Genomic DNA, 25,515 nt, shown 5'->3' with positions numbered 1-25,515 from the left:
CCTTTGCTATTTTGTCAGTTTTATTAGGATTTATTTAATAGAGCAAGGATACATTTAAAGGCATTACTTTCATTTTGAATTATTTTTTGTTAAAATTTTGTGGTGCAATCTGTTATATCTTTTATCGTATGCAACTTTATAGGAAAATGAGATTGCTTCATAAAGCTTTATACAACTTCAAAAATGCCTAATGTTGAGGGACTTCTGTTGGCATTCATAATTTGAAATTTTTCTTTTGGATTTGGCATACAAATGTGAAACATTAATTTTATGGTGTGGTTTGTGGGAAATACAAAGAGAAAAATTATAGATATTTAAGCATTGAGTGTATAACAGTATTATTTGTGTGTTCACATTATATGGGAAACATGCAAATTTTGGAACAGATTTTAAGATGGTTAAAAAGGAGAGAGTGGGTCTCTTTAAATGGAACCCAGGTGTTACTGTAGCTACTTTGAGGCAGACTGACGTGTTTTATCGGTGGTCTTGAATGCAGTTGATCAAGTTGCTGTTAGCATGTAAAATAAGTTTCTTTGTTTTGCTGATAGTCTAGTTCTCCAAAGAGCTTTTTCAATCTTTATCAATCTTTAAAGTTAAATAGCTTTCCTAATAGTCCTTTGAAAGGATGATTGTATTTATATGTTAATGAAGGTAAGACTTACTGAAAGTTTTGGCTATATTTAAGGATCATTTTGCTAGTCTGTGTAAATGAAACTTACTGCAATACATTACTTTTTATTGCAACATAAGTCATATTCAGATACAAGTTTTTCAAGGAAAATTTGCATGGAGATTCTTGTATTAACTTATGCCTATTAGTTTTGCAAAGTCAAAGGTTGTGAGAACATTACCTTTATGAGAGAATTTATTTGCTTCTCCAAAATAACTTAAAATATCTATTTTAATTGTTCTGGAAGGTTTGTTGGTTCTTAGATGTTTAAATCTCATTGATTCCAAGTCAGTGCACTTGCTGGCAGATTTTGAATGTGCATAGCAACTCTGTTCCTGGAATTTTAAAATGTGGAATCTGTGACAGACTCTTACCATTTTATAATCAGTTTCAGTACTTTTTTTTTAACTTTTGACTTACTTGTTTTGTGTCTTGTAGCTCAGATAAGTGATTGCAATAATTTATCCAAATTTATCTTTTAAAACTCTGCAGAGAATAGTCTTTCTCCGGGATTATTAACATACCTGTAAATCAAACCTGAAGATTTAGCACTACAAAAAATAATCCTAGAAAATGATCAGTGTATTTGGAAGAACATGGACCTTTACTTAGAAAAGAATTATAATTTCAATTAAGTTCAGGAATTAATCATGAGTGTTTTATATGAATTCCCAGGTGGACTACTATTTACAAACTATGGATAAGATTTCATTTTAGAATAATTTAAGCGTTTTCAAAACAGTTTACGTTAATTTATCTAATCACGATGTAAGTAAAAAGTTGTTAACGTGATGTTTAAAACCTAATAGTGAGAAAAGAGATCTTTTTAACTTCTTGTTTCTAGACTCCACTTTTTTTTTGTTTTGAGAAATTAAATATATTATTTTGCACTGATATTTTAACTTGACTTATCCCACCTCTTGAACGGTATTAGCTAAGAAGAGATCCCCAAATTACCCTAGTTTATTTGTAGTGAGATGTGTCCATTTATGTCTTTCTGGACATCCAGAAATTAAAACATTGCCAAATTGGCAGACCATGAACCGTTTACATATTTCTTTTCATAATGCTCCATAGCCAAGAAAGTGACCATGGAATTTTAAGACATCTTGACCCTTTTAAAAAAGATCATTGGCAGTTAATCAAGTTTCTCGCATGAGTTAGAATTCCACTGGGAAGTTAAACAGGTCTAAAAACCTTATTAGACATAAGAGTCAAGTTAGTTGTCATATGTCATATGATAATTGTGTTTTTGAAAAATTATAAAAGTCCTCAAATATTTGTGAAATGATATCTTAGCATGTTTAGTTTTTTTTTTTCTGTAAGACTATTCATAAATTTTACCCCAAATGCAACATATGGATTAGTCATGGGTAATTATTATGGATTATAAAATTTCTTTTATTTCTAAGGGGAAGTTGGAATAGATAAGGCAGGACTGTTTGAGGGTTGGGATGGGACCAGTATTTTCAGTTCAGTAAAGTCCTCTGTAAAAATATACTTGCATTCTACCAAGAAAGTTAATTCCCATACAGAGATTTAAATATGTTGGTGGAGAATATAACTTTACATTAATATCATTTCCCAAGAAATAACACTGCAATTTAAAGGTTTTTTTTTTAACATCTAAACACAGTTTAAAACAATTATCTTATTCTGAAGAAAACTGCAAAGTTAATGTTTTCAGTAACCACAGTAGTTAAAAAAAAAAAAAGTCAGGGAATATGCCAATTTTAAAATGTTGCCATAGTCACTTTATGTTATAATTTTACTATGTGCAATTCTTTATTGATTCTTTGTCTTTTAAATTAGACTGCTACTGACAGAAAGGCAATTGCAATTATTTGATCCCATGAAATAATGAGTTTAAATATCAATTCTATCAACATCATGGTGATGTCTTATTCTTAACAACCTGAAAGTCATAGTTAAAATGGAACCTCTTGTGTATCCAGAACAAAAATAGAAAGATGTAAAAAATTAAGACAGGATTGTATTCTTCCAAATTTGCTTCTTAAAGCTCACCTACTAACACAACTTAAAGGGAAATAATAATTTTCAGTATATATCTGATGTAAATGTGTAGCTGCTCTCTTGACTGTTATTTTGTTTCCGGTCTAGATGTTCTTTCAGGTTCACTTTCATCAACAATATTCTCTGTCTTCAGGGTAAAATGTTTTCCAGTGGTTTTGTATTGAGTCAAGTTTAGTGCTGCCTCCACACTTCGAGTAGGAGTTTTATCTGCAAGAACAACCTTTCTACAGCAAAGCTTATTACATCATACGAATAAGGGTTTTTTCCTTTTGGTTTTATGTGACCTTCAAACAACAGTCAGGTCAACTTAAAAGCAGAGATGTCATTACTTTCCCCTCAATTCGCTTTAATGGCTGATGGTAAATTTATATTCAAAATCATAAGTAATATGTGCTATTGTTACTTACTATGTGTAATGTCATCCACAATATACAGTAGTCATAATACACTCATTTTTATTTTTCAGAAATCCTACTTTTTTTTAATGGAACATAAAATTGGTTATGTGCTCATGAATTATTTTCCCCCACTTGGTGCAATAAGGATTAAAGGCTTTAAAAACGACATTATTTTATGTGGTTTACATAAAACATGAATTTAGAATTAAGCATTGAATTACAGAACTCCATATAATCTCTTATAATTGAACAACAATAATTTCATGTGTGTGTGGGCGGGGAGAGGATGGGCTATCACCCCTCTTTTTGATGTGCTAGAAAATAATCTAAAATATGAGAGAAAGACTTCCCATTTGAGTTTGACTTAAAGACAGCAGATAAAGTATATTTTATTTCTAAACATTCATTGGAATTGCATAAATGTTTTTTCATCCATGTTTTATTTACAAAATAGAAATTTTTTTTAAAAATAGAAAAATAGGATTTGGTGTAGTATAGTGTAGTTTTTCCAGAGGATCCTAATAAATAAAATATTGCTAAGCTTTTCTATTTCAGTTATAGGAAATGTGCAGTTTGTTACATTTTGTAGTATAACTTTATTCCCTTTGATTTGTGTATAATGTTATAATAAAAAATAATAATAGAGTCAGACCTCTGTAGCATTAGAGAAAATATTTGGCTAGAAACAACGGCTAGTTGGCTCTGAGCTTCCCTTAAGTTTTCAAGTTACTGCAGGTCAGTTTTAGTTAGGAATTGAAGCTGATTTGACACAACGACTAAAACTTTACTGTTACAGTAAGAATATAGAAATATGGAAATAATGCCTTGATCAAGTATTAAAGGTGTTTTGTCATTGGAAAGTTGCCTCCTTTTTGTATGTTTAAATATGTTTATACTTCTGCATAATTAATGCTTTTACATTTGTACAATCATTTTAATGTTAAAAGTGGATGTGGTATAAAACCAAGCTTAGTGGACTCATGATTATTTTGTTCCATGGCCTGTAGCTTCAATTTAGGATTAAACAGCATACCACTGTAGGAAGGTGGATTTTTCTTTTTTTACTTCTTATTTGAAATAAAATTTAAATTTCTCATGAGAAATTTGTTTCTAACTCTTTGATTCAAAGAGAAATGCTACAAAGTTCAGCAAACAATCTACAGTATTCTTATGATAAAAATAGTTGGATAATAGAAAAGAAAAATAAGGCATTTCCGTAATGGTTTTTCTTTTCCCTTTCTTGAAACCTTCTTTGCATCTTTCTGTCTTTTCCTTTTTTCTTCCTTAGTTTTATACATGCAAGTTTCTGTAACAAGTTACTCTGTAAAGCAGGATGCATGTATGTATTTGTGTGTGTGTATATATATATATGTATGTATGTATGTATGTATGTATGTATGTAACTTTGTAAACGTCATTTATTTAAATGTGTTCCTTTAATGGATCTGAGCTCTGAGACAGAGCAATAAAATTGGTGTGTTTATATTGCAAGTCCAAGTTTACTTGCTTTAGCTCCCTGGAAGGGTGTGACATGAAAAGATTGTGGTTGGGCCACATGGCTCATATGCTGGACTGTGTTTTTGTGAATGGAGGCAGAACTCCAGTTCTGCCTGCTTGTCTTGAGGAATTGCTGAGGAGATCAGCTGTCTCATTCACGGGCAGAAAGAATGACTCATACATCTTCCGCCTTGTTTGGCTCCAGGTCATTGTTACAGTGGATAGAACTGGTTTTAATTAAATATTAACCCCTTTTATACTTGACGTTTGTTTTATTTGTAATTCTTCCACTTTTTCCTTAGCTTTAAAAAAAAACCCAACAGGCACATAGTTTGTAAGAATAGGAGGGTTTTCGCTTCCCTGCAGCCAACCTTGGAAACTTTTTCATCGCTTACTTTTTCTTAAGTAATGATTATTATTTCATTTGAAAGTTAAAAATAAGCATAACATAAAGGCAAGCTATATTTAAAATTACCCATCTCTAAGGCAATATTAGTTAAGAAAAGTATTAAAATTAAAAAGGAGAATTGGTGAGTTTGTGACATATAGGTCATGATTAATATTTTTATGAATTTCTTTCTGATAATATGCATTGATACGTAGCAAAAAGACAGAAAACAGTAAAACAACTTTGGATAATAATCTAGGTAAAACAAATAGCTGAGAGTGCAGATACTGCCCTTTTAAAGCCGACATCCTGAGACTTGATGGCAACTGGTCTATTAACGTGCAATGAACTGATAGAGCCGCTCCAGCTATTACCAATAAAATCCACATGCTTAATCTCCTTGAAAGCATTTTATTGGTCTTTTGGTATATACTTTCTCCCCTTCTCCTTTCCTCCTCTTCCCCTTCGTCTTTAATTACATAGTGTGGGGAAACATTTTCATTCCCCAAAGGTGATTATATCCAGCACAGTTTATAATAGATAGTAGTGGAAAAAACATTGCTTTTTTAGGCTGACCTCTATTGTTAATTTTCAACTTTGGAGTTGGTATGGCTTGCTGCAAGTTTTCAGGCAGCTGCAGTTTGCTCCTTCACAGTATTCCCCTGAATTGAAGAAAAAAGGAAATGTATGATACAAGTGTGGCAATACTTTGTCATATTTTCCTTGCCTAGATCCAACTTGTGTTTTTAGTTAACTGCTTTCCGTTTACTCTAACTTGAAATTAGAGGTATACTTAAGCCTTTGTCTATTTAAGTAGCATGCTGCTTCGTTTGGTCTATTCAGTTTCTTAAGATTAGCTTCTGTGAAAATGTGAGTCATATGTTTTTTGTTAAAATTCTGTAATATGTTCAGGAATAAGTGTGAAGTATTTATTCAGTATGTTAAGGAGTTAGAACAGAAATAGGAATTCTTATTCTTACTCTTTACAGATTGTTATCGTGCAGCTATTTTCTGTATATTTGCGAGGTATAACTTCTAGATTATTCTACTCCTAAAATTTGGCCCTTTTTTCCTCACACATATTCCAGCACACATCACACACCCATCAGTGAGTCTGTGCTGCTCTTGCAGTGACATATATTAGGAAGTTGCAAATCTGCTTACGATGCTACAAAAACAAACAAAAGACCTTTAGAACATTCATACCATCATATTCAGTTACAAGTATACTTTTGTTACTCACCAGCTATTTTTAACTTTTCCTGTAAAGGGATATTATATTTTTATTAGATTCTTATAAATGTTGGCTTTTTAAAAGCCCAGTAATTGTTGTGGTTGATATATTTGCATCTCAATAGTTATATCTGTTTAGCTGTTAATTCTGAGGGAAAACCAAAACAATGATATAATGGGAAAAATGTGCAGGATTTGAATCTGTGTACTTGCTGTTATTTATTAAATATATATTTAAAACACTTGTAATTTTTTTGATATGAAGACTTACTTGAAAGCACACCCTTCGCCTTGTAATTTATGAATCTTTTAGAACATTTTTTTCTGCAGTGTCAAAAAAATATGTTGTGTTAATAGCTGAGAGAATGCTAATGTACAGATTTTAGCTGTTTCGTTGCCTCTCTAGTAGACTTCATTAGAAGTAAAGATATTAAACTGAGCGTTGTAATGACATGTACTTTTTTGTGGATGACTTGAAAGACAAGGGTTGGTGGGTAGAGGACTGGAAAGAAGAAAATAAGGAACATTTCTTGAGTAGCTGGCATTGCGTTTAGACTGTTTCATTTAATCCTCACCAAAAAACTGTATTTTCACTAGTAAACTGATAAGTAAAATTCAGTTCTAAGAGGTTCAGAAACTTAACCAAAGTTGCACAACTAGCATGTCACAGAATTAAGATTTGCAGTTTGCTAACTTTGAAGTTGTTACCCACAGTATCAGATATTGGAGCAATATGAAGAGAAAAAAATTCTCCTTGCAATATAGGCTGATCAAATAGGTATCAGTTAAAACTTGAAAAAATTATTAATTTGTTTGATTTTGTTTGGTAGCGGGGGTAGAGTGCATTGGTAATAAGGTTAATTATTGGTGTACAGAAGAGAGTTGTTAGAAAACAGTTGAATGTCAAACTGCATACGTTTTTATAACAGGCACAATTATCAGATTCTTATGCTCTTCATAATATAACGTAAATTTTATTCAGCCAAATGTCTGTTTTTAAAGAATAATATTAAACTAATAAAAAGAAACTTTAATTCTGTATATTGTATTCTTTTTTATATAAAATTTTTTTAAAATGTAGAATTCCTTTTTATGTAGATTTTTTTCTTAAGCCATTCAGTTACCAACCTGAAGCATTTTCAAAAGAGACTGTTTATTTTAATAAGCATTCCTCATGCAGAATAGGCTCATTTAAGAAAGTTAATTAACGTCTATTTAAATATGACTTGGCTGGATAAAAAAGTTTCAGTATTACGTAACACTAATGAAGTAATACTACCTAGTCAAATGACAGCTAAAGTTAATTAGGATGATAATTCATTATATTTTTATCAAATTAAAAGTAACCTAACTTCTATTTTTTGGGCGTGTGTGTGTGTGTGTGTGTTTGCATGTATTTATGTGTGTTTGTGAAAGCTTATTACTAATATTCAGTTTGGAATAGGTTACTTCGATGTCTAAATCAACTGTGATGAAAACATTTTAGAAGTGAAAAATGCACTTGTGTTTTGATTGCTGCCAAATGCATTAAGTCCTTGCTATTCAGTATTTTTCCTTGACTAAAAATAGGAACGTCTTTTGACATGAGGACTGACGAACTAGTGATATTCTTTTTGTTAATGCCTAGTAGTTGCCAGGAAAATATTTTGAATGAAAAGATGACATTTGTGTTATTGTTTGTTATTTTGTTAATGTGAATATAATCTTTGAAATATAATACTTTATTATATATGAGCCAAATCAAGGACCATTCTTCCATTTAAAAACCTTTGTAGCATACTTTGGCAAAATTCAGTGCAAGCATCTTAAAATATGGTGTATTTTGCAGGACAGAGAACATACCAGCAGACGTTTCTAAAAAAGCAGAGAGACGTGTGTGATAACTGCACATCACTTAAAATAATTGTGTGGTTAATTTAAGTGGGCTGCTTACACACTGGCAGTGGGTGAATTGAAATAGCTTTTGCTCTATTCTTGAAAAAAAACTGCAGGAAATGGAAATTCTATAGCTTTCTTTATTTTGCATCTCTTTTATTTCCATCTGGCAGGTGAAATTCGGAGGGAATACACCTGCCATCATCCTATTTCTGACATATATATGGTTCCTAGGTGACATCAATGATCCCCTTCCATTTCTCCTCCTAAGTAGTGTTGTCAATACCATTTTAAATAGGAGCTCATTGGCAAATAATCATAGGTTTGATCTCAGCCCAAGAAGATCTTACTTGACAGATTTTACTTGACATTCCTTATGCTTTTGGCAGTTTCTCTCTTAATTTTTTTTAATTTTCTTTTTCTTCTTCAGCTCAGGTACCTGACAATGATGAGCAGTTTGTACCAGACTATCAGGCTGAAAGTTGTAAGTATAGTATGACTCATCTCTTGTATTTTTCTGTCTTTCTGGTTTCCTTCTTTCTTCTTTCTCTTTGGTTGGTTTTCACGTCCAGTGTCTTGTCTTACATTGTACCAGCACCTTTTTAACTTACAGCCATAAGATGATTTGATTTGTTAGGTTGTGACATCAGCAGAAACTCTGTTTTGAGCAGAATGCTTGAATTCTGTATATCGGAAGAGAACTCCAAATAGTAGGCAAGGAAGACTGAGTTGATTGAAAGATGGTCTTGTTCTTCATATTGGTAAATATCTTTGGGAGGAAATAGCATGTGATCCATGAACATGCACATGTTTACTTCCAGTTTGCCAATATGCTTACAGAGAAATGCCTGGATGCTGATGGGAGGTAGAGTTAAAAACTACTTGAGATTAGTTATTGTATAATTTATAAAAGATTCTGGACCAAACATTCATTGGCTTATTGTAGTATTGTACATTCATGAATTGTCACCTGCTTTTATTTAATTTTTAGCCTGAAATTTTCTGCTTCCTGGTTGCAGTAGCACAAATGGAAGCAGCCATTGGCTTCTCTCAGGGTTCTTCCTTCTGCGTTCCTTTCCCTAAGCCTTGCTCCTGGGTCTGTCAGAGAATGCGCAAGGAGTGATGCATGGAGTACTCACTGTCCCTTAATTGCAGAGTGAGCGTTTTGCCTGTACAAACGTGGTTGCCTTGGGGTTTACTGCTGATATTTATAATCTGCCATTCTACCAGCTAACTGCTGCTACTGACCAAAGGAGCAAATACTAAGGAAAAGGGTATAAATGCCATCTTAATTATGAAACTGGCCTAATGCATTTTTGTTCTGTTGGTGACATCTAAATTTGTTTTATTTTTTCTAATACAGATACCTGCATTACTTCAAGTAACAGATGTTGTGGGCAGTGTTTTCAGCATTTATGTTTGATATGTTAAATTTCTCAGGCGTAGAGGGTTGTGCAAGGTTTTGTCCAGATTCTCTAACATGTTACATGTTTCAACTCAGCTTGGTTATAAAGAAATTACTGTGGTAAAATATACATACCACAAAATTTACCATTTCAACTATTTTTAAGTTTGTAGTTCAATGGCACTAAGTACATTCACATTGTTGTACAACCTTCACCACTATTCAACTTCAGAACTTTTTTGTATCCCAAGCTGAAGTTCTGTACCTGTAAAACAATAACTCCCATTTCTCTGCCCTCAGTCCCTGGTAACCACTGTTGTATTAGCTTTATTTTTGATCCGAGAAGAAAACTGTATAATGCTGTTTGATGTCTAAATACAGGTAATTGACATAGGCTTTCAAGAAACTTACTCAGCAACTATATAGACCTTAATTAGACACCCTTAGAAACACTCCCAGAAGGATGATGGCTAATACAAGTCCTCCCCTTCTTGATTAAAGTATGGGAAGAGAATGTCATATTGCCAACATTTCCCTTCCTATGGGCAATTGAATTCTTCTTTCTAAAAGCTAAACACGTCGTCTGAGTAAAAGAATTAATCTCGTTGATATTTTACATCCAAAGTAATTGGTAACAATTCCAATACTATACCAATTGTCAGGGTAAAATGAACCACCTATAGGTAATTTTTTACTCCTTTTCTTATTTGACCTCTTTTCAGCTTTTCTTATTGAATATTTAGTCTCTTTGAACTCTTTTCTGAAGGTCACACTGGCGTGATTTTCTTCCTTTATTTTTTTTTGTTTTTTACACCCTTGACCACTCCTTCTTACTCAACTCATCTTCCTTCCCTCCTCTTTGTGGACCTCTTCTTTCCCTAGGGTTCTGTCCCGAAACCTTTCCTTTTTTTTTTTCTTTTCTTTTCTTTTTTTTTTTTTTTTTGAGACAGAGTCTCACCCTGTTGCCCAGGCTCTAGTGCAGTGGTGCAATCTTGGCTCACTGCAAGCTCCACCTCCCGGGTTCACACCATTCTCCTGCCTCAGCCATTCTCCTGCCTCAGCCTCCCGAGTAGCTGGGACTACAGGCATCCGCCATCACTCCCAGCTAATTTTTTGTCTTTTTAGTAGAGTTGGGGTTTCACTGTGTTGGCCAGGATGGTCTCGATCTCCTGACCTCGTGATCCGCCCGCCTTGGCCTCCCAAAGTGCTGGGATCACAGGTGTGAGCCCCTTTCCTCTTATTTTACATGCACCATGCCAGCACTGTCCCATAGAACTTTCTGTGATGGAAATGACTACACCTGTGCCACCTGATACAGTGTCCACTAACCACATTGGCCATTGAGCACACGAAATGTGGTTAGTGGGACTGAGGAAATGAATTTTTAACTTTATTTAATTTTGATTATTTTAAATTTAGACATGTCTGGATACTGGCTACTGGCTACTGTATTGGTCAGCACAGCTTTGAACAGCGATGTCTTCCACATTGTTGTCTCCAGCCTGGTTCTTCCCTCCGAAGCTGTCCATTGGACATCCTCACCTGATCCCTGCTAGTGTCCCTGTGCAGATTAGAAAAAGGCAACACCTCTGGACTTGCTCCCTTAGCCCTTGGCTGTGCATTGCACAAAACACCATCTACACGCCAACTCCAATCTTTAACGCAACACTCCACAGACAATTTACACTCAGCAAGTCCAACAGTGAAATCATGATTTTTCCTGACCAACGTTGCTCTTTTACTTCTGTTGCCTTTCTAAGTTACTGGCATCACCATCCAAACTGAAATCCTGATATTTATCCTTAGAGACCTCGGTTCTTTACAATAAACCTCAAATTGCTAACCAAGTTGTTGATCCTAGCTTTCAAAAATATCTTAATTTCATGGCCTCTCCTTCATCCCTATTTCATTGTTTTAGTTCACACACCTACATTCTGCCTTGACTGAACTTCTGAGTCAGCCTTTTGGTTGGTTTTCTTGTCTTTTGATTTTCCCTCTTTGCAAGCCACCCTGTGCAATAGCATTAACACACAGCTATTTGGCCTTGTTACTTTTCTTCTTAAACTGTCTGCAGGACAGAGTCCTATTTCTTTAGCTGTACGGAAAATTCTTCTACAACCGAAGCCTTGACTGTCCTTTCGGTTTAAACTCTTGCTACTCCAGTGCCCTGACTTTTCCTTTCCTCTGTACTTTAGCCCTTCTAATTTTTCAGTTATCTGGGCAGATTGAGCTGTTTTAAATCTCTTTGCCCTTGCATGTGTTCATTTTGCTTTAAAACTTTTCATTTTTGTTTTGCAATCTGGTGAACCTCCTATTTCAGACTCAGCTTAGATTTCACCTCACTGAAGTCTTTCTCAGCCTTTTCTTGCCACCCTGACCCCACAGAGTTAGCTGGACTCCACAGCATCTTGTATATTATATTTATTGTATTATAGTATTTTAGATACATTTGTGTCTTTGACAAGATTGTGAACTTCTTGAGGGTACAAGAAACACGTCACATTCAGCATGGCTTACATGTTATAGGAGAACAATAAGTAAAATTATCATTGCATTCATGATCACCTTCTTAGTGCTTATTTCCTCCTAAGCATCTTCAGAGTCTTAATTCGTTTCTTAAGGTAGAAACATGATATGCCTTAAAACTGCACGTATAGTCTCATTCTGGGAAAACTTGCCGAAACTATGAAAGTTTAACCAAATATTTTCAGAATTGTGAAGGTTTATTTTACTTTAATTAGAGAATATTTACAGTTTAACAAATATGGCTTTGGGACATGTAAATAAGACACACAATAATTTTAAAAAACCCATAAACAGAGGCAAAAATAAGTCTGAAATCGCCTAATTTAAAAAAAAAAGTGGAAGGATATGTTATTTCAGGTTTTCACAGACATGAAGGACTATTGTTTAGATCATAATAACCAGCTAATTTTATTCTTCACCGAAGAAAGGACAAGAGGGAAATGATTTAAAAAGAAGAATAGGGCATTTGTATTAGATACTAAAGAGGATTTCTGGATGCAGAAGTTTATCAAATATTGGAATTGAGAGGTTAGATGGTCTCCAAAATGCCTTTAAGCAGATGTTTGATTCTCGTGCGTCTGGGTATGCTTAGTGGGGGCAGAGGGATCTATCTCTAGAAAGAGAAAGAAACTGCATCCCCTCTGTGTGGCCTGTCTGTAAATTCTATGGGGATATTTTTAAAAATGTGAGTAATCAGGTTTCCTTGCATACCTCAATGAAATCAGATGCTTCTGCCTTAGCTTTTACTGCTTTAGTCCTTTGGTAAATGAAGGTTAAGAGAGTGAAGAGCAAAATTTTGCTCAATACTGGATTATAGAACATGCATTTGACTGTAACATGTTTAAATGCATGTAGAATAATAGAGATCAGAGCATCCAAAAATTGTGAAAATGAGATTAAATCACAACACTTGAGAACTTTCTAAAAATTTCCCTGAGCATTGTTTGTTGCTGTTTACAAAATATTTTAATTGGAAATGTGGAATCCAGTGATGGTATATTATAGATTGCTAACCTTTGAAGGATGCTAACTTTGAAGCAAGTATAGGCATTAAAAATAAGTGAAAACAGAGCCTGGGCATGGTGGCTCATGCCTATAATCCTGGCACTTTGGAAGGCTGAAGTGGAGAATTGCTTGAGCTCGGGAGTTGGAGACCAGCCTGGGCAACATAATGAGACCCTGTATCTATCAGAAAATAAAAATAAAAACCAAGTGAAAACAAGTTCCTACAAGTGCATGCCAGGAAATCGATGAAGGCTAAGAGAAACAATAACATGCTTTTAACAAATTGTTTATTCCTTAGCAATAAATCTTTTCATATCTCAGACACTCTGTTGGAAAAAATAGAATTACGTTAGGATGTGCTTAATCCAGAAGAAATAGAAGTGTATCTTCTCAAAAAGGACAAATTAAGGAGTATTTCAAACAGAGGTGAACCTTATGTTTCTGAAGTGGATATACATTTGTATTTAAACAGAATTTTCCTAAATTGTTTACTTTAAGTTTAATTACATCAATAATGTTATATTTTCAATCTTATTTTATTCTGAGACAGGGTCTCACTTGGTTGCCCTGGCTAGAGTGCAGTGGCATGATTTTGGCTCACTGCAAACTCTGCCTCCTTAGTTCAGCAGTCTACCCTACTTCAGCCTCCCAAGTAGCTGGGACTACAGGCACGCACCACCATGCCCGGCCAATTTTTGTATTTTATAGAGAGATGGGGTTTTGCCCAGGCTGGTCTTGAACTCCTGGGCTTAAGTGATCTGCTCAAGTCGGCCTCCTGAAGTGCTAGGATTGCAGGCATGAGCCATCATACCCAGCCTTAAATCATATATTTTAAATTTAGTTATATCATTTTTTTTTTCTTTTTGAGACAGAGTCTCGCTGTATCATCCAGGCTGGAGTGCAGTGGCACGATCTCGGCTCACTGCAACTCCTGCCTCCCGGATTCAAGTGTCTCTTGCCTCAGCCTCCTAGGTAGCTGGGATTACAGGCATGCGCTACCATGCCTGGATAATTTTTGTATTTTTAGTGGAGACGGAGTTTCACTATTGTTGTCCAGGCTAGTCTCAAACTCCTGACTTCAAGTGATCCGCCCGCCTTAGCTTCCCAAAGTGCTGGGATTACAGGTGTGAGCCACTGTGCCTGGCCGTTATATCATTCATCTTTGAAAATCTACCACCTTTCATTTTGTTCTTCGTAACAAAGTTATGTGTTATTTTTAGAACTAGTTTGTTTCCATTTGGTTACATTAGTTCATTTCAGTCTTTTCTCTGTAGTGATTCACATGATAGTGACTTTCACATTTACATTTTATCTTCTTCCAGAGCATTTCCAGGAGTGTGCATAAGTCCCAGGGTTATGCAAAATTCCCAACAGAATAGATCCTTGTAACTCTACTGCTTTGTCTTACACTCAGTAAAACACACTGGAATGCAAGTCCATTGGAAAAAATGTTATTAAAGAAATAACAATAACCCTGACTCTTCACTATTTACAAAAGTAAATCTTTTGCAAACTTCTGTACTTTATCAGATATCTGTAATACAATACTAGAGGACCATACAAAAATCATCCAGACAGACCCTTGTGTGGGGACTCAACTGTTTAAAACCACTAATATTATTACATGGATGGCACTTTAAGTAAATGAAAATCATAACTACACTTTGTTTCTTTAAGAATTTCTGGTTTTAAGAATAGCATTTGGGTCGGGCACATTGGCTCACGCCTGTAGTCCCAGCACTTTGGGAGGCCGAGGCAGGCGGATCACCTAAGGTCAGGAGTTCGAGACTAGCCTGGCTAACATGGCGAAACCCCGTCTCTACTAAAACTACAAAATTATCTGGGTGTGGTGTCGCATGCCTGTAATCCCAGCTACTCAGGAGGCTGAGGCAGGAGAATTGCTTGAACCTGGGAGGTAGAGGTTGCCGTGAGCCAAGATCGTGCCATCGCACTCCAGCCTGGGTGACAGAGTAAGATTCTGTCTCAAAAAATAAATAAATAAAATAAAATAAATAAAAGAAAGAATAGCATTTGACTTTTTTTTTTCAATGAAGTGGAAAAAAGAAATACTTAGATTACTGTTACAAATCTGCTTCTAAAAAAACTGAAGTCAGTCAGGTCTGTGTAGACCCTGACTGAATAATTTGTGTTAACACGTACCTGTCCAGGATCAGAAAAATTCCATTTGTGGTTTGTTTTCATAATTTCCTGCCTTTTTACTAAGTTACCTTCCTACATCTTGTTTCTTTCAACACATACAGTGAGTACTTTATAAAGTTGATTTTTTATTACTAATTTTGAAAACTTTCTTGCCCGATTAAGTTTTTTTGATATGATTGGTCAGGAAAACTTCATCTTCTTTCGTTTTTCTGACTGCTTTTACCAAAATGAGAGCACACACTGAAAGAGAAATGGCATTTTTTTGGATTTAAGAACATGAGTTTTTTGGTTTGTTTTCAATTTCAAAAAGATTTAAAACTTTTTTTGAGGCATATTTAAACATGTTACCAAATAGACTCAAACTATCCATTTCAAGCATGACTAGTTGCATACCTTCTCGCCCAAGTTAGTATTCCTGAGAGTTATACGATAGCTACCTCTTGATGGTTCTGAGTTTCTTTTGGGTATGCTTTTTGTAGTTGCTGCTTTGTGTGTGTGTGTGTGTGTGTGTGTGTGTGTGTGTGTGTGTGTGTGTGTGTGTGTGTGTGTGTTTTGAGATGGGGTCTCGCTCTGTCGCCCAGGCTGGAGTGCAGTGGCGTGACCTCAGCTCACTGCAAGCTCCGCCTCCCGGGTTCACGCCATTCTCCTGCCTCGGCCTCCCGGCTAGCTGGGACCACAGGCGCCCGCCACCACGCCAGGCTAATTTTTTTTTTTGTATTTTTAGTAGAGACGGGGTTTCACTGTGTTAGCCAGTATGGTCTCCATCTCCTGTCCTCGTGATTCTCCTGCCTCGGCCTCCCAAAGTGCTGGGATTACAGGCGTGAGCCACTGCGCCTGGCCCAGTTTAAATATTTTGTCAAAGCAGTTTATGTACAGAGTAGGAAAAAGTGCAAATAAAATTATTCCCCGTTCCTGCAACCCACAACTCACAGTCCTCTCTAGAAGCAACTGCCTTTTAGTTGTCCTACATACTAAATAATATGCTTGTACTGCAACTTCTTGTTTTATTAGTTTTAGATTTTACCTGTTGTCCTATGAAGATAGAAAAACATTTTGGATAGGTTTTAATTACTTTAATGCCGGTAATCAGCTGTCTGATTCTACTTCAGTCCGTATTCAGACCTGGGCATGAATAAAAATCATTTGGGAAGCTTGTGCAAATGCAGCTTCCTGTTTCCTATCCTGTGAGAGCTTGACATTACAGGCCTAGAACTAGGCTTCTGTATCTCTAAGGAACTGTTAGGTGATTCTGATGCAGGCCTTTCGTGGAGTGCAAGGTTAGATATTTTCTCATATACTTAATTGTAAAATAAAGACAGCAGTATCAGTCTTTTGCAATTAAGTTGTAAGATGAACCTTGCCATTCATACCCATATAAAATTTGTTATGTGATAGAGGCAATCAGTTTCTGGAAAATATTATTTAAGTAATATATTGTCATCTTATTTTTAAAATATACTAGGGAATCAAAAAGCGAAGGCTATATAAAAATGATATTTTAAATATATTCTTATTTTATCATCTTTGCTAGAATTATATATATTTTCCTCTTCCAAAGATTATTCTCTATTTTAGCTGTGAGAAAGTCATTGCTGATTGTAGATTTCTTTTATACTGGAACCAATTCTAGTTTAGAAGGAACTTCCCAATGCTGATTAGAGAGAGCCAAGGCATTGATGACCCACCCTGTTCTAGGTGTGTCTAGTAGGAATTCTTGTCATTAGATGTTCTACTGTTCCACTGGTGCAGATGTGTTCCATGTCTGTCACAAAGCCCAGCAGCCCCCTTTCCAGTAAAGCGAAAATTTTAGTTTGGTACTTGATTGTTTTACAAGGAATACATTTTTTAAATCAAAATGAAAATCCAATGAAAAGTACTCTCCATCTTGCAAGTAGGCTCTCTTGCAAGAATTTTTATTTTAGATACCCTCCCAGGAATCCATCAAGTCCAGTAAAAGAAATAAAATCTAAATCATAGACCTTGGGTATGTCTCTTAACCTTTACTTACTTATCTGTAAGTTGACAGGGAAACAAATCTTTTAGGCCCAGAGCCACATTATGATTTTGTGCCAGAAGGAAAAGAGAAAGGATACTAGCTAAATCTGGTGAATGCATGCTTGACTTGAAAAGTGGGTTTTAGAAAAAAACGTAATTCATGGGGGAATAATGTAAGTAGAATTTGCTATGAAGGACACTTTCCCTTATAGGAAGTAGGTGTACTTTCTTTTATTGGTATACTTATAATTTTCTCACTGTAAGTATACGGAATATAAGTATTGGACAGGTGCAGCCAATACTTATATTCTGTATACTTACAGTGAGAAAATTACATTAGTCTTGATTTTAGTAAAGTATGCTCTAGTAGATACTTTTCACTATTTTTGGTTTTACCAGTTTATTCTTGTTAAGGTACATAGGGCAGGCTTACCGCCCAGATGAAAACCAAAAACTAAAATTCAAAACTCTACAAAACTGGTGCTTGCTCTTCCAAAGATGAAAGCTAAAAATATATATATTAACCCAAGTCTTTAGCTTTTTCTTTCCTATTTTTCTTCTTTAATTTTGTCCTTAATATAACAATATATTGTAGAAATTGACTTTTGAAATGTGCTCAAAGGAAGTTATGTCAGCAAATATTTTTTACTTACCCTCCCTATAATTAGTCACAAGTTATTTTGAAGAAAGTGATCTATACCTTCTTTGGTTGAACTTGACCTCATATTAAATAATTATTTTGTTATACAATGAATGGACTTGATAGAAATATAAGCCAAACAATATTTATTGGAAAAATCTAGGTAAAGGATGTCAGTGGAAAATATTTGCAGAACCAAATATTATACTTTTTGTCCCCATATTTTTAATAAATACACATACATCTATATATTCTGATATGTAAAAAAGTAAACACAACAATTATTAGTATTTGAAACTAAAATAAAGCAGTCATGAAAATAAATATATTTGGGGGCTACCACCTCATAGAATATGTAAGTTTCATGAAATAAGATATAAAGAAGAAATAACCTGAGCTAAACTAGTACATGTGGACCTTCACATCGTAATTGTATGCTTAGTGTTTGTTATGGGTTTTTATTGGTATCATTTTTCCACTTTTTTTAAATCATAATAAACATGTATTTAAGATGCACAATGCATATTTGCTTCTGTCTGTTACTGAATTTTTTCCTAATGAGAGTTGGTGCTGTATCTTACTAGGTAAAAATTTTGGTTAGATGCTATTGTTTTTTTAAATCTAAAGCACTATTTGCATTTGACAGTAGCTAAGGGTAATGTTAACTCAAGAACTCCATTATTGGCAATATATCAGGAATGGCTAGATTAAAAATACTGTTTAAACAATGTCTGATTAAGCTTTAAGATCAGAAAAGTACCTTTGTGCAATGGTTTTGTATGTAATCTTTTGAATCTTTTGTAAATCTAGAGTTTAGCAAAGAAGTTTTTTTGGTTTGTTTTGCTGTGGGTATGACATTATTAAACTATTCAGAGATTTGTTTCATAGTTACTCCTAGTTATTGCCTATATAGTCCTGTTTTGACTAGTTTTTAGGTCCTGTTGAAGAGGCTTGAGTTGTGATGGACCCTTTAATTATCTTTTATTGTAGCAGAATCTTGTATTCACATTTCTGTTTGCAAAATTGGAATGATTATATTTTGCAAATGAGATCCGTATCCATTACTGTTATTTTTTATGATTTTTAAATATGAATAATAAATCTTAATGTATAACAGTTCTTATTTTACCTATGAGAGTTTAGTTTAATTAATTTATTTATTGGGTACATATGCTACACAGTTGTAGTCTGTACAGGTGTTACGTAGGTTTATAAGACTCTAGATGTTTATTCATTCAACAAATGTGTTTTGAGTCCCTATTATATGACAGGCTTTGTCCTAGTCACTGGAGATACAGTGGTGAAAAAAGTCAGAAAAATATCTGCTATCATGGAGCTTATGTTCTTACTGCATATAATTGATAAATGAAGTTGTATTTATCACATATTGAGTAATGTGAAATTATATGAGTGATGTGAAATCTATGCATAATCACTGTGTATTCAGACTCTGATCTATTACATATTGAAGAAAATGTGCTTAGGTTTCATGTAATTTTAGGTTTTTTTGTTTGTTTGTTTGTTTTTGTTTTTGAGACAGGGTCTCACTCTGTCGCCCAGTCTGGAGTGCAGTGGCATGATCTCAGCTCACTGCAGCCTCAGTCTCCTGGGCTCAAGTGACCTCAATCTCCTGGGCTCAGATGACTCTCCCATCTCAGCCTGAGACCATAGGCATGCACCACCATCCCCAGCTAATTTTTGTATTTTTTTGTAGAGATGGGGTTTTGCCATGTTGCCCATGCTGGTCTTGAACTCCTGAGACCAAGCAATCCTCCCGCCTTGGCCCCCTACTGTGCTGGGATTACAGGTGTGAGCCACCACACCCGGACTTAATTTTATACTTATTTTAACAAAATGTACTCTGTCCAAAGGCAAGGCCACTGGATTCCCTAGTGGATGATGGCTATCAGTGTCTGTCTTAACACCTTGTTGACCTATGCTAAAATTCATGTTATAGGGGACTGACAAGAATATCTTTGGACTTTTAAAAAATGAGGTACTCTACTGTTAAGTATTACTATTTACAGAGTATTGTCCTATTCATTGAGATCATATTTGTTCTTTAAGATTCAGATCAGATGTTATTTTTCCCTTGATTATCTTAGTCAGAATTAACAAATTTTATGTGCCAATACATACTTTACATAGATCCTAATTTTAATCCTATTTTCATTGGCTTGTAGAGGATGGTTCATGCCCGGTTTATGTGTATGATTCACATGTTTGAGGTATTCATTGAATACTGAATTGAATGAATAGTTTCTTGGGTATTTAGAATCTTATTTTTTAAAAAACGTATTCATGCACAGGTGGCTTGAATTGTTTGAAAACGAGTGCCAATATCTGCTTTTATTTCCCTCTGTTTTATTTTTCTTTGAGGGCTAATGGAAAGCTGTTTGCATTTATGTAACATTAGAGCTAAATCTCAGTTATCAGATTAGGGCACTCTAATAAATATTATTAGATACTCCTATCTCACCACACATTTCTCAATAATCTCTATTAGGACAAATACTCTGAAATAACTTGATATTATTCCTGTTTTACATGAAGAGAAACCCAGGGCATAAAATAATCAAATAGCTAAGGCATGTGATGACTGAAATTACACAGCTGAGAATCCCATCTCATGGTTGCTTAGTCTATGCAGATCTTCCCTCCCTGATAGCCAATACTCAGACTACACGTACAAGCTTCAAAACTGTTTCTATTCTGAAAAAAAAAAATCTGCGTGGCTAACAAAGAATGTGTTTCACTAATAGTTTTTGAAAATTATTCTCATCAAGGTATGATAGATGAAGAGAGACCAAGAGCACCTTCCAATAGAGGTTTGTCTCAAGAAAGATGTTCTGTGAACTCATCTGAGCGAATAGCTGTGAGAAAAATAGATGGGAGGACATGGTGTTCGGGAACTATTCCAGTCCTTGTCTAGGCTGCAGTGTGTGCGCTTCTCTGCCTCAAATATTTTCTCTTATTTACCAGAATTCAAGAGATGTTTATGATAACACTGTGTATTTATGCGTTGTTTATGCACAGGTTTTGGCCCCAGAATGTTTCAGACATGGTGTATTTTTCTCACTGGAGGAGAACAGCCGTTTGGGAATGGAGGCAGTAGTAGTAGTAGCAGCAGCGGCGGAGGTATTAGTAGTAGTAGTAGGAGTATTACTAATGTTCATGGAATTCCCATTATAGTAGTAAATATTCATAGAAATTTCAAAGCTGCAGCTTGAGACGATAAAGATTAATGATATCAACACCTTTAATTTAAAGATGAAAAACTGAAACCCAAAAAGATTATCAGGCTCTTCATGATTTTAAAAGAAAGATTGTACACCCTTAGCTGTGTGTTGGGAAAATAGCAAATAAGAAAAAGTATGAACCTGGATGCTTTCACTCATTAGTGATTTTTTTCTTTATCAGATTCACTATAAGATACTTATTCCAGTATCTTATTCCAGATACTGGAATAAGAAATACTTTTCTCACCCATTTTGTTATTCAGAAGGGTATTTTTAAATTCTGCTACATCACTAGCACAAATGTATATTTGTTGGATGAAGGAATGACTTCAATTCAATATTTTTATGCCAGGTTTTGTCTCGTTTATCAATGTTAATGTATCTATGCATAATTCTTAGCTTAGTATTATGTCGATTTTTCACATTAAGTATGATCGTGATCTATAAACCAATACCAAGTTCTGGATAAATTTTGATTAGAAATATGTGCCCCCCTTTTTCCATTTATCCCCCAGAACTTTTCAACACTGAATTTAGTCCTAAACCATAAGATGTTTTTCTTAGAATTATTTCCAGCTGCAGAGTTACCAGCAAAAGTTGTTGTCAAATACTATCAAGGCCACCGAACATGGTTAAAAATGGCTCATCCCTATAAAGATGTATGGGTAGTATTGAAGCAAACCTCTCAGTAGTGTTAGCTTTTCCTCTGAAATGGTGGTCCTGCTGTGAAGTGAACTTTTACTGCTGTTTGGGGTTGTTTTTCTCCATCCTCATGAACACAACAGCCTTATTATGTTGATTTGATTTGATTCCCTAGTCCTTGGCACTGGGGCCAGAATGTCAGGTGATGCAGTTGTCTCAACTCACGGGTCTGTAGGGAAAGCCAAATAGCTGGATGTCATTGCTGTGTTTCTCTGGATGTTTTTGCCATCTGAAATCTCCATGTTCCTGTATTCTTTCAGGAAAATCAATCCCTGTTTTCCTTTGTGAAAGCTCTATTTTCATTCATAGTTTTATTGCAGATTAAAGGCTGTTGCATTAGAAAGTTATCAGCTAATCAATAAACGTCAGTCATCCCATTTTGTGATAAAGCTGTCCCATTGATCAAAGTGGAAATGTGGGCTTTTGGCTTTTACATAGCAATTTCTGAAGTTCGGATAATGTGCTTATGGAATATATAGACCTATCCTCTTATTTATAGGTCTTATGTAGAGATGGACATATGAATTTATGTGTACGTAATGTACATATAAGCAGGCTAATATATACAAACATCTGAATTTTATGTAAAATATAACATTCTTTTCTTAGAATTTTGGTTAAATTCTAAGAAAATGAGAAGTCATCAGTAAACTTCTCTCTCTATATATACGTATAGGTGTGTGTGTGCATGAAGTTTTTTTTTTTTTGCCAAGATTGGTATTAAAATGTTTTCAAAAACCTTAATGCAAAATTTCAATGGTTGTGAATATAGTAAAACACACATGAATTTTGTGATTACAAAATTGGAAAAATATGCTCTTATTTTCATATTATTTATAATAGTTAAGGGAATAGCAGTTTTAGACTCTTTAGGTTTGGCATCTTTATTTTGGTAACATGCAGCTTGTCCTGTTGGTTAAATTCTTACCGTGGCTTTTTTTCATAACGAAAAATAAGTTATGTTCACAAATATTCATAGTGCCAGGCATTGTGCTAGGTGCTGTGAACTGAAAGATGAATACAATACTAGCAATAATACTAATCATTTATATTTGTTCAGCATTTTAGATTTCATAGGCCATTTTCACATCCTGTATCTCATTTGATTCTCACAGTTACCTTGGGATATAGACAGAGTAGACAAAGCTCATACAGTTTTAGTGTGGTTCCTATATAAGGAACTACATTCATAGGTGTTGAATGGCAGAACCAAAACTCACCTTGTAACATTTTCCCTTGTATGCATTCCAGTAAAATGTACAAAGTTGTTATTCATTGATTTGCCATGACTATACAAGTGAATTAAAGACGTAAAATAAGTGTTTTTGCCACATCCGTGTATACATATATATATTCGTATGCTTGTGTAATACAATAAAAGAAAAATGGAAAATTTATCAAAAATGATTTTTATTCTTCATGGAATTATTCTAATTTATAACATAATGCACAAACTAATACGTATATGGAAAGCAAGGGTGGAGTGGGCAATCCCTGAAGTTCCCTGTTTGTCTATGAAAATCTTTATGCTTGTGCTTTGGATTGTAGAAATGTGGTTAAGTTCTATGTATACATAGGTCTTCAGCTTCAGGAATCCTGAATGTTTGCTTAACAAAATAATGATGCTCTCAAAAGAGAATTTTAAAATTGGTTTGGACTCTATTTGGCAACACATAATTAGGCCAGGAACATTTGCTAATGTGCTGAAATTAATTGAATATCACATTTTGCGTCTTGTCTGATACTACTTTTTTATATTATTTCATGCTGCTGATAGTGTTGATGTTGAAGACACTAAAGCCATATGATATAAACGTGATGAGATTTATCTATGGGACTGAGTACATTGTACTGTATAAGAGTAGGACATTGGACCTAGGCCTCTTGAGTTCAAGTCTCTACTATTTACTAGCTGTGTGACCTTGTACAAGCAATTTAAGATCATTGTGCCTCAGTTTCCTCTTGCATAAAAATGGGATAAATATTATCTCCCCTAGGGTGACTAAATGAGTATTTATATATATACACACACACACGTGTGTGTGTGTGTGTGTGTGTACATAACATTGTATATGTTTATGTGAAATATCTAAGTAATATATTTGGCACATGGAACATACTATATAAGCTTTTATTCTGTATATACAAAAATATATAGATATATGAAATACACAAAACATAACATTCATAATATATCACACGTGCATTCATTTCTGATCAACTTAACTTTTTGTGTTTTTCTTCATACTCATAAATAATGTCTACACCTACCAACATGTGGGCTTTATCTACTGTATCTACACATACTGTAAATAGTTGTAACAACTTGACCTTTTGCTGTTGATCACACTAAGTAGTTCAGTGTATATCTGTAATGATACTGTTAGAAGAAACTAAGAAGTGTTGTTTGTTCAAATCTACTTTGACCATAGGAATTCAAAAACAAAAAGTGTTGCACTGGAAACATTCTGATACTTGTAATACAGACCCTACTATAGGATCAGTTAGCATCTTATGTGTAAGATTATGGGTTATGAATTCTGGCCAATCAAGGACACCCTAATTTGTGGGTCTAACAAAATTGCTTCTATCCTCAATGTTTTTTTTTATTTCAAAGTTGATGTATTCATTGAAAGGGAAAAAAAGTGTTGATTTTTCAATTAAGATGCAACCTTTACAATGTAAAGCAATAATAATTATAGTGTTCGCTCAGCCTGAAGAAAAAATTTCACTACTTAAATAGCAATAATCAAGATGAGAACTACATTAGAAGGGTGCTAATTTTATGATCATTGCTATTTAAATAATAAAAATGAATCCACAGGACCCTTGCTGTAACACTATTTGCAATGAAGTGGTATTCAGCTTTAAAATGGTCCTCTTGAAGCCCATTTAAAATTAATGGGCTGCTTAAATTGTGAATGACCAAAGATCACCTTATAAAATAGCTACTTTTCCAATCAATCAATTATTAGGCTATGGCTGGGCTTCTACAGGACCAGATGTATTTGACCCAAAGTATTTCACAAATATTAGTGCAATCATTCTTATATAATAACAGATTTTTCTTTTTCTTTTTTTTCTTTTTTTTTTGAGATGAGGTCTTGCTCTGTTTTCCAGGCTGGAGTGCAGTGGGGCAATCATGGCTCACTGCAGCCTCAACCACCCGCGCTCAAGCGATCTCCCAACTCAGCCTCTTGAGTAGCTGGGACTCCGGTGTGCGCTACCATGCCCAGCTATTTTTAAATTGTTATTATTATTTGTAGAAAGGAGGTATTGCTGTGTTACCTAGCGGTCTTGAACTTGTGGACCCAAGTGATCCTTCCTCACAAAGTGTTGGCATTGTAGGCATTAGCCACCACTCCCAGCATATGATAACAGATTCTTATATTTTCAGCCCCCAAGGAAAATCAATAACAACAACAAAACAAATCAGAATTTGAGTTTCATCAATTGGATTCTGCATGCTAAATATAAGAAAAATAGGTTCTAGTTTTTCTCTCTCCAAAAAGAATTACTAGCATCAGAGAATTTGGCACTGAGGTAAAATCTTAAAGTAGCTATAAGCTCACATGGCAACATGTGAGCTTTGGAGTAGGTTTAAATCTAAGTTTTATAGATTTACAAATTTTATAAATTTATAAATTTTATAGATTTATAGATTGGAGTAGGTTTAAATCTGGGTTTAAATCTAAGTTTTATAATTTGCTATTTTTGTGATTTTGAACTAATTAACTTCTTTAAGCTG

At 34.5% G+C, this 25,515-nt stretch overlaps 1 protein-coding gene across 18 annotated transcripts in view, besides 1 other annotated feature; it reads left to right on the top strand.

Annotated features, from left to right (window-relative positions):
* Positions 1 to 25,515, top strand: part of ETV1 (ETS variant transcription factor 1) — a 100,197-nt gene that overhangs the window by 5,420 nt on the left and 69,262 nt on the right. For 12 of the 18 annotated variants that reach the window (NR_120445.1, XM_011515168.4, XM_047419985.1 and 9 more), the window contains one exon: positions 8,526 to 8,579. The exons of the other annotated variants lie outside the window; for them this stretch is intronic. Coding sequence is in view for 11 of the 12 variants with exons in the window: in XM_011515168.4 (XP_011513470.1) it covers positions 8,526 to 8,579 (54 nt within the window). In the remaining variant the exon portion in view is untranslated. The remainder of the gene's footprint in view (positions 1 to 8,525; positions 8,580 to 25,515) is intronic. 18 annotated transcript variants of the gene reach the window in all.
* Positions 166 to 960: an enhancer, noted in NCBI's record as "OCT4-NANOG hESC enhancer chr7:14024671-14025465 (GRCh37/hg19 assembly coordinates)". NCBI's record gives its function as "activates a minimal SCP1, AML or CMV promoter by ChIP-STARR-seq in naive H9 embryonic stem cells {active_cell/tissue: H9 hESC(naive)}" and the evidence as "EXISTENCE:reporter gene assay evidence [ECO:0000049][PMID:30033119]".

This window comes from Homo sapiens, chromosome 7, assembly GCF_000001405.40.
Source record: "Homo sapiens chromosome 7, GRCh38.p14 Primary Assembly".
Classification (NCBI taxonomy): domain Eukaryota; kingdom Metazoa; phylum Chordata; class Mammalia; order Primates; family Hominidae; genus Homo; species Homo sapiens.
This window is presented reverse-complemented; position numbering and strand designations above follow the sequence as displayed.